The following is a 16,966-nucleotide window of genomic DNA, read 5'->3' as shown; positions in this document are numbered from 1 at the left end:
ATCTAAGCCTGTGAGGATGGCAGCGAGTCCCTGAAGCCTGGTGACCTGAGCTCCGGAGCTCCGAGAGGATGGCTGGCTAGATATTTAGTTCTCTCTCCTATCTGTGGTAATGACTAGCAAAAGGGGGCTGGTCGGGTTCTTTCCAGGAAGGTAACATTGTCACACAGCATAGAGTAAAGGGACCCCACAACCTGCTGGGCAGTGCAGTAGCCCCAGGCCACACCTCTGTGAATGGAGCTTCCTGGTCTGGGACCCCAACTGGGGCGAGCGAGGGGTGAAGTGAGCAGTGCACAGCACATGGCATTCCCACATCCTGCACCCTCCCACCCACCCTTGCCTCACTCATGCCGGGCCCTGGGGGTGGGATGAACTGAGAGCCAGAAGTCCCACGTGAATGCAAAGCACTTCCACCCTGCTCACCTCCTACCACACCAAGTGCTGTGGTAAACACGCTCTCCCAGAGATGGGCCGAGCCACGGGCTGGGCATGGATTCTCACCATCATCTGCATTTAGAGGATACCAGGACACAGAGGGGCTGAGGGGCCCGGCTGCCACATGCACTCACATCCTCGGAGGCGTCACCCTGAGTTCCTCCTACTGGGACCCCAGAAACAAGTCATCCCCTAAGAAACCCCAGAGTCCCAGAGTGGTGCCTAGCTGCCTGGCCCTGTTCAGCTCTCACAGGTCCTGCCTACGATGGTGGAGGTGCTCCCTCCTTCCCTCCCTCCCTCCCTCCCTCCCTTTTTCCCCCGCCCTCCTTTCCTTCCTTATGGGCCAAGTGCATGTGCCTGCTCCACTGGGTGGAGCAGAGTGATCAGGACCCAAATTAAGGGACTCCTGGGGCCCTGCAGACATGACTCCTCCCGGCTCAGTGTTTGCCAAACTTAGACTATGATCCACTAAGGTTTGGACATAAGCTCAGTGGGCGGCGATTCCTAGAAAATAGGAGTGTATCACACGTAGGGTGAGTGTTTCATGAAAATGGCATAAGTTATACACATACATGAATAAATGTACATACATCTGTACATGCATGAATACAGCAACTATGAATGTATACTTTAATTTTCTGTAGAGATGGGGGATGAGTGTAGGGTGAATGTGTCTCGCATAAGGGTGAGTGTTTTTGTGAAATTGGTGCCAGTTTTAGATATCTGTACACGCCTGTGCATACACATGCATGTGGGGGTGCCGTGGAGATTGCATCATCTCCTGTGGGTCACAGCCAAAGACGTCTGAGCAACTCTCTTTTATTCTGTTTACTTCAAGAGAAAGAAAAAGTAACAAGCCAAAAGCCCCTGGGCTTCTCAGGAAACAGGCTGAGGGACACTTTCAGCACAGGATCGGAAGGTCTGGGGGTGGAGACACATCCTTTGCCCGCCACAGACACTGGAGGGCGTGTCGACATTGCCTGCAGATGTCCAGGAAAGAGCTTGGACCCTAGGGGGCGGAAAACCGTGGGTCTGTGACCTTGACAAGCTCTCCAGCCTCCCGGATCACCTTCCTTGTCTTCCTTGTCTTCTTTGTCACCTGTAAAAGATCGAGAGCCTCTTGAGGCCGTTTTGAGATTAAACACACCACCTGCGAAGGGTCCTAAGCATGACCCTAGCGAGACCCTTCTCCTAGTCATTCTCACAACCAAAGGTTTTCAGCTTGAAGAGAAAGCCCGAGCTGTCCCCAGTGTCCCTTACTGTGACAAAGGCCCCTCGGAACAGCCCCGCCCCCACAGCCTACAACACATTGAAAGGACAAAACATAGACAAAACTTAAAAGAAGTAAAAACACACACGTTGCACCCGCCCCGTCCCTTAGCGTGCATAAGATATACACAGGAAGGAAGTGGCCAGGGTGATTCAAGGAGGCTGAGCTGCGACGGCTCAAGGAAAGGAATATTTCTGACAAGTCCGCCTTGACTGTGGTTTTGAACATGATTTCAGCCCTAGTTTTGGCCAGTCCCCCGGCCCCCGCCAGCACTTGTGTCTGCAGTCTAGACACAGCAGCAAAGGGGGACACCCATGCAGGAAGGCGCCCAGTGGGCTGCCCCATGGCCTTGGGGTTGGAACCAGGGCAGGATGAGCAAAAGCTGCTGCGCGCCGGCATTGACGGGGGGCTGTGGCTGGGGCAGGGAGGCGTGGGCTGCTGCCCAATCCACAGGGCTGAGGATGAAGGGGAGCTCCAAGAAGCCTGCTTCCCAGTATTTTCCCAGCTACTGACTCACAAACAAACCTGTTTTTGATTTCTGCTCTTAACCCGCTTCAGGCCCTAGCAGGTCCAGCCCCGTGGAACCAGGGAGCTCCAGACACGTCATTCTCAAACTCAAAAGTCCCTTCCACGCCCCTGAGATAGCAAAGACCCAGTTCCAAGCCTCTCCCACCTCCATCCACAGCCTCTCCTGCTTTCCAAGCCTTTCCACACCCCAACTCTGGCTCAACTGGGGGCAAGCACCTGATTCGAACCTCCCTTGGGGGGTACTGTTGGTTCCCGGCCCTTCTTCCCAGTCCTCTATAAAAGGCCTGCCCATCCCCAGAGCCAGCTCAATGCCACCTCCTCTGTGCACCTTCCTGGCTCTCCAACTGGCAAGTCTCTCTCCTGCTGCCACTGATCCTGCATTTTACTGTGTGGGCAGCTGTATGTCCAGCTGTGTGCAGCTGTGTGAACCTGAGCAAGTCACTTACCTCTCTGAGCCTCATTTCCCCATCCGTAGAATGGGGATATTGAGAGTTGTCTGCTGAGATGAAGTAACGGACGCGAAGCAACGAGCCTGGCACACAGTCTTGGCACCAGCATTGTACCACCAGTGGCAATGATGGCAGGCCTCTTACCCTCCACTAGGTGGGAATCTCTCTGGGGTAGGACTTGGCTGTTCTCTCTCCATCTTCTCTTAGTTCTAAAAAGATTTCCTACATCTGGCAGGTGCTCAAAAAAGAAATGTGAGGGGTGGTGTCTCCTGGTGGTCTGGGGCCAGAAGATTCTTCACATGGCGAGGGCAGATAAGACCCTGAGCTAGGCAAACCACACCTTTTGCAGGAGGGGCAAGAGCGGCTGTGGGGCAGCTGTGGCCTCGGCTGCCAGGGACTGGCGTGGGACTGATGTCCCTTGCATGGAGCCTGAGTGGCCAGTCAGTGTCAGCCCACACAGGGGCACCACTGCTTCCAGACCAAGGGCTCAGGGAGACCTCACAGGGCTGGGCTCTCAGGGCAGAGGTATCTTTGAGATGACATTCCCTGGGGCCCACAAAGGTGCCATAGTCTGAGCCCACAGGCTGGACGGGCATCCTAGCCCATAGCCTTCAGTAGAACGGGAGGTGGGAAACAGGTGAGTTCTTCAACAGTCCTGGCTCACTGCCCTGATCGCATGTACAGGGTGCAGAGCACACAGGGACTGGGGAAGGGGGGGACCCTGGTGGAAGAGAGTGGACTCCCTGAGAGAAGGGAACACAGCTGACAGCCCAGGGAGACCAAGGTGGCTAGGGTTTTTAGGACAGAGGACCTAAACAGAGAGAGCTGGCAAAACACAGCCCTGGACATCTGCAAAGGGACTCCTCGGTTATTCACCTCATGTGTGTGGAGAAACTGCCTGGGGCCAGGGAAAAGCCACCGCATGGAAGTAAAGAACAGCAGCTGGAGCTCCCAGGGGGCTCCCACCAGCCAGAACGCATAACTCCTGATTCACTGGCCATTGGGCACAGTACTCAGTGGGTAGCCTAAACTCAGCCCTGGACTAAGCACTGCTCCACGCCCACCTAACAAATCATAAAAGCAAGACCCAACAAGATCAAACAGTTTCTCAGTAGCTTCATTGTATCTCAGAAAAAAAGCTCAAGATTATTTATGTGTTTATTTTTCTGCTTTGTTTTGAGGCAGAGTCTCGCTCTGTCGCCCAGGCTGGAGTGCAGTGGGCGCTGGAATCAGGCATGTGCCACCATTCCAGCTAATTTTTGTATTTTTAGTAGAGATGGGGTTTCACCATGTTGGCCAGGCTGGTCTTGAACTCCTGGCCTCAAGTTATCCGCCTGCCTCGGCCTCCCAAAGTGTTGGGATTACAGGCATGAGCTACCGCACCCAGCCTAAGATTATTTATAATAATACAAAAATATCCAGCATCCAGCATGGTAAAATTCACAATATCCAGCTTCAAATGGAAATGACCAGGCCAGGTGCAGTGGCTCATGCCTGTAATGCCAGCACTTTGGGAAGTTAAGGCAAGAGGATCGCTTGAGTCCAGGAGTTCAAGACTAGCCTGGGCAACAAAGCAAGGCCCCATCTCTACAAAAAAAATTAAAAGTTAGCTGGGTGTGGTGGTGCATGCCTATAGTCCCAGCTACTCAGGAAGCTGAGGCAGGGGGATATCTTGAGCCCAGGAGACTGAGGCTCCAGTGAGCGGTGATCACACCACTGCACTCCAGCCTGGGCAACGGAGTAAGACCTTATTTTAAAAAAAAAAAAAAGGAAAGAAAGAGAGAACAAGAAAGAAAGCAAGAAAAGGGAGGAATCAAGAAAAGGGAGGGAGGGAGGGAGGGAAGGAGACAGAGAAAGAAAATGACCAGGTATAGGAGAAGGTGTGGCCCGGTTGGCTGGTATGGAACCTTCTACGGAGGGCAGAGGCCATGTCTAGATAGGAAAACAGGGAGCAGAGAGAGGCGGTCAGGAAGGAGCCCCCTTTCCAGTGCAAGAGCTCCAGGAAAAAAAATTCTCAACTTCACTTCCCCTTCCAGCAACCTTCCTTTTTCAGCAAAACGACCTGAAAGTTTTGTAAGTGCTCTGATTTCTCTCCTCCTTTCTCTCTAGTCTTCCTCCTTATTGTGAAATATAACATACATCCAGAAAAATGTTTAAAATGCAAATGTTCAACTTAGCAAGTTGTTGTAAAGCAAACACCTGTGTAGCCACCACTTGCATCCATCTGTATCCCACCTCCTCCATCCCCGTGCCCTTCCCCAGATCTCTGCCACCTGGCATTCCCAGTCAACACTTCCTTCCTTCCGTTGCTTTAGAGTTGACCACATAAGCAAGCGTCCCTAAATGATAAGGTCGCATCCGCAAGTCTTCGCAGGGTATAGAAATTGAATCGTGCAGTGTTTGCATGGTTTGAGATCTGGCTTCTTTCTCTCAAGATTATGCTTTTAAGATTTGGCCAGGCTGGGCGCGGTGGCTCACGCCTGTAATCCCAGCACTTTGGGAGGCCGAGGCGGGAGGATCACAAGGTCAGGAGATAGCGACCATCCTGGCTAACACGGTGAAAACCCATCTCTACTAAAAATACAAAAAATTAGCCGGACATGATGACGGGTGCCTGTAGTCCCAGCTACTCAGGAAGCTGATGCAGGAGAATCGCTTGAACCTGGGAGGCGGAGGTTGCAGTGAGCCGAGAGCACGCCACTGCACTCCATCCTGGGCGACAGAGGGAGACTCTGTCTAAAAAAAAAAATTTAACCATGTTGCTGTAGGCATTTGCAATTCATTTTTGCTGCAGCATAAAATCCATTATATGAATATACATTTTTTAGTCCATCCTACTGTTGGTGGACATTTCTGTTGTTTCCATTTGAGAGCTGTCTTAGTCAGTGTGGGCTGAGATAATAAAAAATAATAATACCACACACTGGATGGCTTAAACAACAAGCACTTATTTTTCACAGTTCTGGAGGCTGTAAGTCTGAGATCAAGGTGCCAGGATAGTTGGGTTCTCGGTGAGGGCTCGCTTCCAGGTTGTAGACTGCCATCTTCTCATTGTGTCCACACATGGTGGAGTGAGAGAAAGAGGCAGCAAGCTCTTTTGTGTCTCTTTTTTTAAGGTCACTAACTCCACCTGAGAGGTCCACCCGTATGACCTAATCATCTGCTGCATGCCCCATCTCCAAATACCATCACCTTGGGGGTTAGAATTTCAACGTATGAATTGGGGTGGTGCATATATACTCAGTCCGTAGCAGGGGCTATGATGAATTGGAGGCTCATGAGTGTACTTGTCTTCAGCTTTAGTGGATACTGTTACATCCTCCTCCAAAGAATGGAGATTCTACCACCAGCAGTGTTCTGAGTGCCTATGACTTCAAGGTCTCACCAATACTTGGCACTGTCAGACTTTCAGAATATGGAATGATCTCATTGTGATTTGAATTTACATGATTAAGGAACATTTACATGTTTATTGGCCATTTAGATATCTTCTCTTTCAACTTGTTGAAACATTTTGTCCATTGCTAACCTTTGAATGTGTCCCCTAGAAAGTATATGTTGGAAATTTAATCCCCAAAGCAACAGTGTTGAGAGGTGGGGCCTTAAGGAGAGGTGGTTAGGCCACGAGGGCAGAGTGAATGAATTTGTGCCATTATCATGGAAGTGGGTTTGTTTTCAAGGGTATTTTACTCTCTACCTCACCCTCTCTTTGCCCTTCCACCATGTGATGCCTTCCAACATGTCGTGATGCAGCAAGAAGACCCTTGCCAGATGCCGGCCCTTTAATCTTGACTTACCAGCCTCCAGAACTGTAGGAAAATTAATTTCTGTTCTTTATAAATTACCCAATCCTTGGTGTACTGTGATAGCAGCATGACACAGACTAAGACACCCATTTTTTCCCCTTTTACTCATTGTTCTCTCTCTTATTGATTTTTAGGTGTACTTTATATATCTAGATATGACCTCTTTGCTGGGTGTATGTACTGCAAATATCTTCTTTCACTTTGTGACTTAGCTTTTCACTCTCTTAATAGTGTCCTTTGATGAAGAAAAGTTTCTTAATTCTAATGAATCAAAATTATCAAATGTCTCCTTTATCATTAGTGCTGTTTGGACCTTGTTTAACAATCTTCCCCTTCCAACCAAGGCAACAGAGCATGATCTTTAATTTAAAATAAAAGAATCAGGCCAGGCACGGTGGCTCATATCTGTAATCCCAGCACTTTGGGAGGCCAAGGCGGGCGGTCACAAGGTCAGGAGATCGAGACCATCCTGGCTAACATGATGAAACCCTGTCACTACTAAAAATAACAAAAAATTAACCAGGCATAGTGGCGGGTGCCTGCAGTCCCAGCTACTCGGGAGGCTGAGGCCGGAGAATGGTGTGAACCTGGGAGGCGGAGCTTGCAGTGAGCCGAGATTGCGCCACTGCACTCCAGCCTGGATGACAGAGTGAGTCTCCATCTCAAAATAAATAAATAAATAAATAAATAAATAAATAAATAAATAAATAAATAAATAAAAGAATCTTTCTCTGTGCTAAGATCATAAAGTTAGTCTCCTGTATTTTCTTCTACAGATACATTGTTTTGCTTTTCATCTTTATTTAATTCTGGTAAAATATACATAACATTTACCATTTTAACTATTTTTAAGTGTACAAGTCAGTGGCTTTAAGTTCACTCATATTATTGTGCAGCCTTTACCACTATCCATCTCCACAACACTTTCAGTTTCCCAAAGACAAATTCTGTACCTATTAAATAATAACTCACTATTCCCCCCTCTTCCAGCCCCTGGCATCTGCTATTCTGCTTTCCATCTCTATGAATCTCACCATTCTTGGTATCATATGTAAGCGGAATCGGGCATTATTTGCCCTTTTGTATCTGGCTTATTTCATTAGCATAGTGTCTTCAACGTTCATCTGTGTAGTACCAAGTGTCAGAATTCCCTTCCTTTTTAGGGACTTCTCATGGTTTTAAGTCTATCATTTTTTTCCACCTGAAAACGCTGCACTGAAAACGCTGTCCTTTCCCTGCTGCTCTGCACTGTCACTTTTTGTCATCAATTAAATGAACATACAGAATGCAGCACTGTACAGCGCCCCATCCTTAGAAGACTCCTGTACTTGACTTAATGCGTTAGGGGTGCTGTCCCAAAATTCTTAATAGTTTGTGAGCAAGGAGCCTTGCATTTTCATTTTGTATGAGTCCTGCAAATTATGTAGATCATCTTGCCAACTACACATTGTCTGAATAATGATAGTTTCATAGTAAATTAGTTTTATGGTAAATTTGAACTCTGGTAGAGCAAATCTTGCTACTTTCTTCCACTATATCTTCAAGAATGTCCTGGTTATATTTGGTCTGTGGCATTTCTTTTTCTTTTTCTTTTTTTTTTTTTTTTTTTTTTTGAGATAGAGTCTCACTCTTTCGCCCAGGCCAGACTGCAGTGGCGCGATCTCGGCTCACTGCAAGCCTCCTGGGTTCATGCCATTCTCCTGCCTCAGCCTCCCGAGTAGCTGGGACTACAGGCGCCCGCCACCACGCCTGGCTAATTTTTCTGTATTTTTTAGTAGAGACGGGGTTTCACCGTGTTAGCCAGGATGGTCTTGATCTCCTGACCTTGTGATCTGCCCGCCTCGGACTCCCAAAGTGCTGGGATGACAGGCGTGAGCCACCGCCCGCGGCCGGTCCTTGGCATTTCTATATAAAATTTAGAATAAGCTTCTGAAGTTCTACCAAAAAACCTGTTGAAATTTTGACTGAGGTTACATTAAATCTAAAGATGAATTTATGATAAATTGACCTTTAGGATACTGAGCCTTGCAATCCATAAACATGGTTAATTCCTCCTAATATTGAAGTTTCTTAACATTACAAAATATTTTGTACTTTTATCCCTACACATGTTGTGCGAGAGACATGATTTTTCTTAATTGTGGTAAGAAAAATCTTGCAAACTGCAGCTCTATACCCACTGAACAACAATGATCCTTTTCCTCTCTCTTCCCAGGTCCTGGCAACCACCATTCTACTTTCTAAGAGTTTAACTACTTTAGATACCCCTATATAAGTAGAATCATGCAAGACTTGCCTTTTTGTGACTAGCTTATTTTGCTTAGCATAATGTCTTCAAGGTTCATGGATGTTGTAGTATAAGACAACATGTCTTTTTTTAAAAGAATGGATAATATTCCATTTGATATGGTTTGGGTCTGTGTCCCCACCCAAATTTCACGTTGAATTCTAATTCCCAGTATTGGAGGCAGTGCCTGGTAGGAGGTGATTGGATCATGGGGACAGATTTCTTCCTTGGTGTTGGTCTCATGATAGTGAGTGAGTACTTGGAAGATCTGGTTGTTTAAAAGTGTAGCACTTCCCCTCTCTCTCTTGCTCCTGCCTGGGCCCTGTAAGACATACCTGCTCCCAATTTGCCTTCCACCATGATTGTAAGTTTCCTTGAGGCCCCCTTGGAAGCAGAAGCCACCATGTTTCCTGCACAGCCTGCAGAACTGTGAGGCAATTAAACTTTTCTTCTTTATAAATTACCCAATCTTGGGTATTTCTTTATAACAGTGTGAGAAATGACTCATACACCATTGTATGTGTATACCACACTTGCTTATCCATTCATCTGTCCATAGACATTTAAGTTGTTTCCACATCTTGGCTATTGTGAATTTTGCTGCAATAAGCATGGGTGTGCAAACATCACTTTGAAAGCCTGTTTTCAATTTTGAATCTATACTCAGAAGTCAGGTTGCTGGATCATATGATACTTCTATTTTTAATTTCTCGAGGAATCGCCGTACTGGTTCCAATTTTTCTACATTCTTGCCAACACTTGTTATTTTCTGTTTTTTGTTTTGTTTTTTGTTTTTTGTTTTTTTACAGTGGTCCTCCTAAGGGGTGTGAAGCAGTATTTCACTGTGGTTTTCATTTGCATTTTTCTGATGACTAGTGATGCTGTGCATCTTTTCATATACTTAGAGAGGTAAAACCAGTGAGAGATGGATGGATAATAGATAGATGGGGGATTTATTAGGGGAACTCGCTTACATGATTATGGAGAGTGAGAAGTCCCACAATAGGCTGTCTGCAAGCTGGAGACTCCTGAAAGCCAATAGGGTTGCTCAGTCCAAGTCCAAAAGCCTCAGAATTTAGGAAGCTGATGATGTAAATCTCAGTTCGAGGCTGAAGGCCTGAGAATCCAGGGGACCACTAGCATAAGTCCTGGACTCCAAAGGCTGGAGAGACTGGAGTTCTGATGTCCAAGAGCAAGAGAAGAAGGGTGCCCCAGCTCTAGGAGAGAAAAAGAGATACTTGCCTCTTTACTGCCTTTTTTGTTCTTTCCAGACCCCAGCTGCCTGGGGTGCCTGCCCACAGTGAGGGTGGATCTTCCCTATATGGTCCACTGACTTGCACACCAATCTCCTCTGGAAACACCCTCACAAACACACCTACAAATATTGCTTTATTAGTTCTCTAGACAATCCTTACTCTAGTCAAGGTGACACATAAAATTAACCATCACATATATTTTATTTGGAGAAATGTCTGCTCAAGTCATTTGTCCATTTTTTAATCAGGTTATGCGTTTTTATTGTTGTTGAGCTGTAAATGTTCTTTATATATTCTAGATATTAAGTCCTTAACAATCAAATGGTTTGCAAATATTTCTTCCATTCTGTAGGTTGCGTTTTACTTTCTTGATTGTTTTATTTGATGCACAGGGTTTAAGTTTGATATAGTCCCATTTGTCTATTTTTGCTTTTATTACCTGTGTTTTTTGTATCATATCCAGGAAAGTATTGCCAAGTCCAATGTCAGGAGGCTTTCCCTCTGTGTTTTCTTCTAGGAGTTTTAAAGTTTCAGGTCTTATATTCAGGTCTATTATCTTTTTTAAGTTAATTTTTATAAATGATATAAGAATCAAATTTCATTATTTTACACTTTTCCTTTGGAACTAGGTAACAGGCAGTGGTTGGAACAGTTTGAAGGGCTCAGAAAAAGATAGAAAAATGTGGGAGAGTGTGGAACTTCCCACAGACTTGTTGAATGGCTTTGCCCAAAGTGCTGATAATGATATGCACAATAAAGTCCAGGCTGAGGTGGTTTCAGATGGAGATGAGGAACTTGGGAACTGGAGTAAAGGTGACTCTTGTTATGTTTTAGCAAAGAGACTGGAGGCATTTTGCTCCTGCCCCTAGAGATTTGTGGAACTTTGAACTTGAGAAAAATAATTTAGGGTATCTTGTGGAAGAAATTTCTAAGCAGGAAAGCATTCAAGAGGTGACTTGGGTGCTGTTAAAGGCATTTAGATTTTTTTTCTTTTTGAGACGGAGTTTCACTCTTGTTGGCCAGGCTGGAGTGCAGTGGCGCGATCTCAGCTCACTGCAACCTCCGCCTCCTGGATTCAAGCAATTCTCCTGCCTCAGCCTCCCAAGTAGCTGGGATTACAGGCATGTGCTAACACGCCCGACTAATTTTTGTGTTTTTAGTAGAGACGGGGTTTTACCATGTTGGCCAGGCTGCTCTCAAACTTCTGACCTCAGGTGATCTGCCCGCCTCAGCCTCCCAAACTCCTAGGATTACAGGTGTGAGCCACTGCACCCAGCCACTGAAATCTTTATATTCATCAATAAGGCCCACAGATCTTCCACACTGGCATTGGTACTATTCCAGAAAGCAGGCTTTGGTTATGGTCTTGCCTTCCTCAAACATCATTTGACCACATATGTGAAAATTTATTTCTGGGATCTCTCTTATATTCTATTGGTCTATAGGTCTTTATGCCAGTATCATACTATTCTGATCACTGTCAGAGTAGTATTTTGAATTGGGAAGTGTGAGATTTTCAGTTTTGTTTTCTTTTACAGAATTATTTGGGCTATTCCTTAGGATTCTTTAGGATTCCATATACATTTTAGAAAATTTTTTCTATTTCTTCAAAGATGTCATTGGATTTTGATAAGTATTGCAGTGGATCTGCAAATTTCTTTGGGTAGTATGAACATTTAACAGCATTGAGTCTTCTAATCTATAAATGTGAAATATCTTTACATGCATTTATATCTTCTTTAATTTCTTTCAGCAATGTTTTGTAGTTTTCAGTATATAAGTCTTTCACCTCCTTGATTAAGCTTATTCCTGAGTATATTATTTTTTTCAATGCTCTTGTAAATGGGATGTTTTCCTAATTTTCTTTTTAAATTGTTCATTGTTAGATATAGAAATAAAACTAATTTCATGTGTTGATTTTTGTACCCTGCAACTTTGCTAAATTTGTTCTTTAGTTCTAAGAGCTTTGTGTGTGTGTGTGTGTGTGTGTGTGTGTGAAATCTCTAGAATTTTCTACATATAATATTATAAACAGAAGTATTTTTACTTCTTCTATTCAGATTTAGATGCCTTTAGTTTCTTTCTTCTTGTCTAATTCCTCTAGCTGAACTTCCATTACTATGTTGAATAGAAGTGGCAAGAATGGGCATCTTTGCCTTGTCCCTAACCTTAGAGATAAAGCTTTCAGTTTTTCACCACTGAGTTTGATGTTGGCTGTGGGCTTTTTGTATACACTTTAATATGGTCAGATAATATCTTTCTATTGATAGTTTGTCAGGTGTTTTTATCATGAAAGGGTGTAGAATTTTTTTCTAAGGCTTTTTCTGCATCAATTGAAATGATCATGTGGTTTTTGTCCTTCATTCTTTTTTCTTTTTTTACTTACATATATATAGAACAGTTGGAACATAGTGTCCTCCATTCTTTTAATGTGATATTACATTGTTGATTTTCATATGTTAAACCATCCTTGTATTCCAGGAATAAATCCCACTTGGTCATGGTGTATAAACCTTTTAATGTGTCATCGAATTTGGTTTGCTAGTATTTTGTTGAGGATTTTTGCATCAATATTAATCAGGGAAGTTTGTAGTTTTCTTTACCTGTAGTATCTTTGTCTAATTTTGGAATCAGAGTAATGTTGGTCTCATCAAATTCCTTTTTCTTCAATTTTTTAAAAAGTTTGCAAATAATTTATATTAATTCTTTTTTAAGTGTTTGGTAGAATTCTCCAGTGAAGCCACCTGGTCCTGGGCTTTTCTAGGTGGGAAAGTTTTTGGTTAGTGATTTAATCTCTCTACTAGCTTTAAATCTGTTCAGATTTTTTATTTCTTCACGATTCAATATTGGTAGGTTGTATGTTTCTAGAGATTTCTCTATTTCTTCTAGGCTATCAAATTTGTTGGCATTTGTCTCAAAACACTTCCCAATTTCTCTCGTGATTTCTTCATTGATCTATTAGTTGTTCAAGAGTGTATTGTTTAATTTCCCCATATTTGTGATCTACCCGTTTTCCTTTTGCTATTGATTTCTAGTTTTATTCCAACAAAATCAGAAAAGACAGTTGGTATGATTTCAATTTTCTTAAATTTAAGATTTGTTTTGTGGCCTAACATGTGATCTATCCTGAAGAATGTTCCATGTGAGTTTGAGAGAACATTTATTCTGTAGTTCTTAGAGTATTCTGTATATGTCTGTAGGTCCAACTGGTCTATAATGTTGTTCAAGTTCCTTTTTTTTGAGATGGAATCTCACTCTTGTCACCCAGGCTGGAGTGCAATGGCACAATCTTGGCTCACTGCAACCTCCGCTTCCTGGGTTCAAGCCATTCTCCTGCCTCAGCCTCCTGAGTAGCTGGGATTACAGGCACCCACCACCACACCCGGCTAATTTTTGTATTTTTAGTAGAGACGGGGTTTCACCATATTGGCCAGCCTGGTCTCGAACTCCTGACCTCACGTGATCCACCCACCTCAGCCTCCCAAAGCGCTGGGATTACAGACGTGAGCCACAGCACCCGGCCCAAGTTATCTGTTTCTTTATTAATCTTCTGTCTGGTTATTCTATGCATTATTGAAAGCAAGGTATTAAAATCTCCTTCTATTACTGTGTTACTGCCTATTTGTCCCTTCAATTCTTTCAACATTTGCTTCATATATTTGAGTGAGCTACTGATATATATATATACGTATATATGTATATATATACATATATATACGTATATATACGTATACGTATACGTATATATACGTATATATACGTATACGTATACGTATATATACGTATATATATGTAATTGTTATATGACTGGAAAATTGATTCTTGCTTTTTTTTATTTGAGAAGGAGTCTCACTCTCACCCAGGCTGGAGTGCAGTGGCGTGATCTCAGCTCACTGCAACCTCTGTCTCCCAGGTTCAAGTGATTCTCCTGCCTCAGCCCCCTGAGTAGCTGGGACTACAGGTGTCCACCACCAAGCCCAGCTAATTTTTTTTGTATTTTTGTAGAGACAGGGTTTTGCCATGTTGGCCAGGCTGGTCTCAAACTCCTGTCCACAGGTGATCAGCCCACCTCAGCCTCCCAAAATGCTGAGATTATAGGCCTGAGCCACTGCGCCCAGCTGAAAATTGATTCTTTTATTGTTATATGTTCATTTTTGTCTCTTGTGACAGTTTTTGTCTTAGAGTCTATTTTGTCTGATATAAATTGGCCAGCACTGCTCTCTTTTGGTTGCAATTTGCATGTAATACCTTTTTCCATTCTTTCACTTGCAGCCTGATATGGTTTGGCTCTGTGTCCCCATCCAGATCTCACCTTGAATTGTAATAATCCCCACATGTCAAGGGCAGGGTAGGTGGAGGTAATTTGATCATGGGGATGGTTTCCCCCATATTCTCATGGTAATGAGTGAGTCTTAGGAGATCTGATGGTTTTATAAGCATCTACCGTTTCCCCTGCTTGCATTCACTCTGTCCTGCTACCCTGAAAAGAAGGTGCCTGCTTCTCCTTTGCCTTTCACCGTGATTGTAAGTTTCCCGAGGTCTCTCCAGCTATGAAGAACTATGAGTCAATTAAACCTCTTTCCTTTATAAATTACCCAGTCTTGGGTATTTCTTCATAACACTGTGAGAATGGACTAATACACAGCCTATATGTATCTTTGTATCTAAGGTGAGTGGGTCTTGAGGTTCTGAAAAATCTATTGAACCACTCTATTTCTTTTTTCTTTTTTTTTTTTTTTTGTTTGTTTGTTTGTTTTTGAGATGGAGTCTTGCTCTGTCACCCAGATTGGAGTGCAGTGGCATGGTCTCAGCTCACTGCAACCTCCGCCTCCCAGGTTCAAGCTATTCTCCTGCCTCAGCCTCCTGAGTAGCTGGGATTACAGGTGCACGCCACCATGCCCTGCTAATTTTTTATATTTTTGGTAGAGATGGGGTTTCATCATGTTGGCCAGGCTGGTCTCGAACTCCTGACCTCAGGTGATCTGCCCGTCCTGGCCTCCCAAAATGCTGGCAATACATGTGTGAGCCACCGCGCTCGGCCAGCCCTCTATTTCTTTTTATTTACACATATAAAAATTACTGACAGGAAAGGACATACTTTGCCATTTTGTTGATTGTTTTTTGTATACTTTGCAGTTATTTTGTCCCTTTTCCTTTCTTGCTGCCTTTCATTAGGTTTTGTTAATTTTTTTTTAGTGACAAGTTTGATTCCTTTCTCATTTTCTTCTGTATATCTTCTACAGATATTTCCTTTGTGATTACCATGGGGATTAAGTATAATACCTTATCATTATAGCCATTTATTTTAAGCTGACAAAAACTTAATATCAATTACATAAAAAATTTTACATCTCCCCTACTTTATGTTATTTATTTCACAAATTGCATATTTTTATATTTTATGTTCATTAACAAAGTTTGATAATTATAGTTCTATTTATACTTTTTCAAATTTTATACCAGGATTAAATGTGATTTATGTACCACCATTAGAATATTATACAATTCTGTACTTTTCCATATACCTCCCTTTACTGAGTGCTTTATATTTTTTACGCCGTTGTGTTGCTGTCAAGTGTCCTTTTGTTTCAACTTGAAGAACTCCCTTTAGCATTTTTTTGTAAGGTAGATTTAGTGTGGATAAACACCTTCAGCTTTTATTTTTCTGGGAAGGTCTTTATTTCACCTTCATTTTTTTTTAATAACCAAAATGTATTTATTTAATATACATCACAATGGCTCAACCGAGGCTTAATTTAAAAGACAAAAACAAAACAAAAATAATACCACAGCTGAAGATACAGAGTCCTATACAGAAATCACAGACAGGACAGACCATCAAAGGAAAACTTAAAAAGGCAACACAAAGATAGGCAGGGAAGCCAGGCATGGTGGCTCATGCCTGTAATCCCAACACTTTGGGAGGCCAAGGCGGGCAGATCACCTGAGGTCAGGAGTTTGTGACCAGCCTGACCAACATGGTGAAACCTTGTCTCTACTAAAAATATCAAAATTAGCCGGGCATGGTGGCAGGTGCTTGTAATCCCAGCTACTCGGGAGGCTGAGGCACGAGAATCGTTTGAACCTGGGAGGTGGAGGTTGCAGTGAGCTGAGATCTCACCACTGCACTCCAGCCTGGGCAACAGAGCAAGACTCCATCTCAAAAAAAAAAAAAAAGAAAGAAAAAAAAAGGACAGTCTGGGCAGCCTGGGTCAGGGGTCCTGGCTGGTAACCTGCTTTGAATAGGTTTCTTGAAGGTAAAAGCTGTAGGGTTTTTCCAGAACTCAACAGCATGCATGTTCAAAGGGCTATCAATGTTGGGTTCTCCTAGCAGGCTCTGGATGGAGACCAGAATGGTCCTGATGCCATACAGTACAGACGACTTGTCTTTCCAGATATCCAGGCATATGTTACCCTGGGTGTCTATGTTGGGGTGGTAGCAGGATGTGAGGAACTTCACTGTGGGCTCATTGTAAGGGTAGCCACTGGGGAACTCTAGCAAGAGCTTATACCTCAGGTCTTCATACACTGTGCCAGCTGCTCCATGGATGGTCCCTACCCATTTGAAAAGGTTGTCTGATTCAAGGAAAGCAGAAATCCCTTTGTCACCAGATATCATGAGGGTCATCAGCTCCTGCTGTAGTCTTTTGCCCACAGGATTCTGGGCAGCACCCCCACTCAGCTCGGCTCTTTTATGGGTGGCGACGACACTAGTGGCTGCTGGGTTATGGTCTTGGGAGACCACTTGGCTGCCTTCTCCTTCATTTTTGAAGAACAGTTTTGTTGGTTATAATATTCTTGGTTGACAAAAGGTTTTTTTCTTCCAGCACTTTGAATATAACATCTCACTCCTTTCCAGCCTATAATGTTTCTGCTGAGAAATCAGCTGATAATCTTACAGTAGCTCCCTTGTACATACAAGTGGCTTTTCTCTTGCT

General features: G+C 43.7%; 1 protein-coding gene and 1 pseudogene across 1 annotated transcript in view, besides 1 other annotated feature; both read right to left on the bottom strand.

The window, feature by feature from the left end:
- Positions 1 to 1,235: 1,235 nt before the first annotated feature.
- The window catches only part of KLF13 (KLF transcription factor 13), a 108,831-nt gene continuing 93,100 nt past the window's right edge, over positions 1,236 to 16,966 (bottom strand). The window contains exon 2 of the mRNA NM_001302461.2: positions 1,236 to 1,531. Within this exon, the coding sequence (NP_001289390.1) occupies positions 1,266 to 1,531 (266 nt within the window). The 3' untranslated portion in view covers positions 1,236 to 1,265. The remainder of the gene's footprint in view (positions 1,532 to 16,966) is intronic.
- Positions 1,534 to 2,053: an enhancer, noted in NCBI's record as "H3K4me1 hESC enhancer chr15:31727051-31727570 (GRCh37/hg19 assembly coordinates)". NCBI's record gives its function as "activates a minimal SCP1, AML or CMV promoter by ChIP-STARR-seq in naive H9 embryonic stem cells {active_cell/tissue: H9 hESC(naive)}" and the evidence as "EXISTENCE:reporter gene assay evidence [ECO:0000049][PMID:30033119]".
- On the bottom strand, positions 15,733 to 16,784 carry UBE2CP4 (ubiquitin conjugating enzyme E2 C pseudogene 4; annotated as a pseudogene).

This window comes from Homo sapiens, chromosome 15 (assembly GCF_000001405.40).
Source record: "Homo sapiens chromosome 15, GRCh38.p14 Primary Assembly".
In the NCBI taxonomy this organism is placed as follows: domain Eukaryota; kingdom Metazoa; phylum Chordata; class Mammalia; order Primates; family Hominidae; genus Homo; species Homo sapiens.
This window is presented reverse-complemented; position numbering and strand designations above follow the sequence as displayed.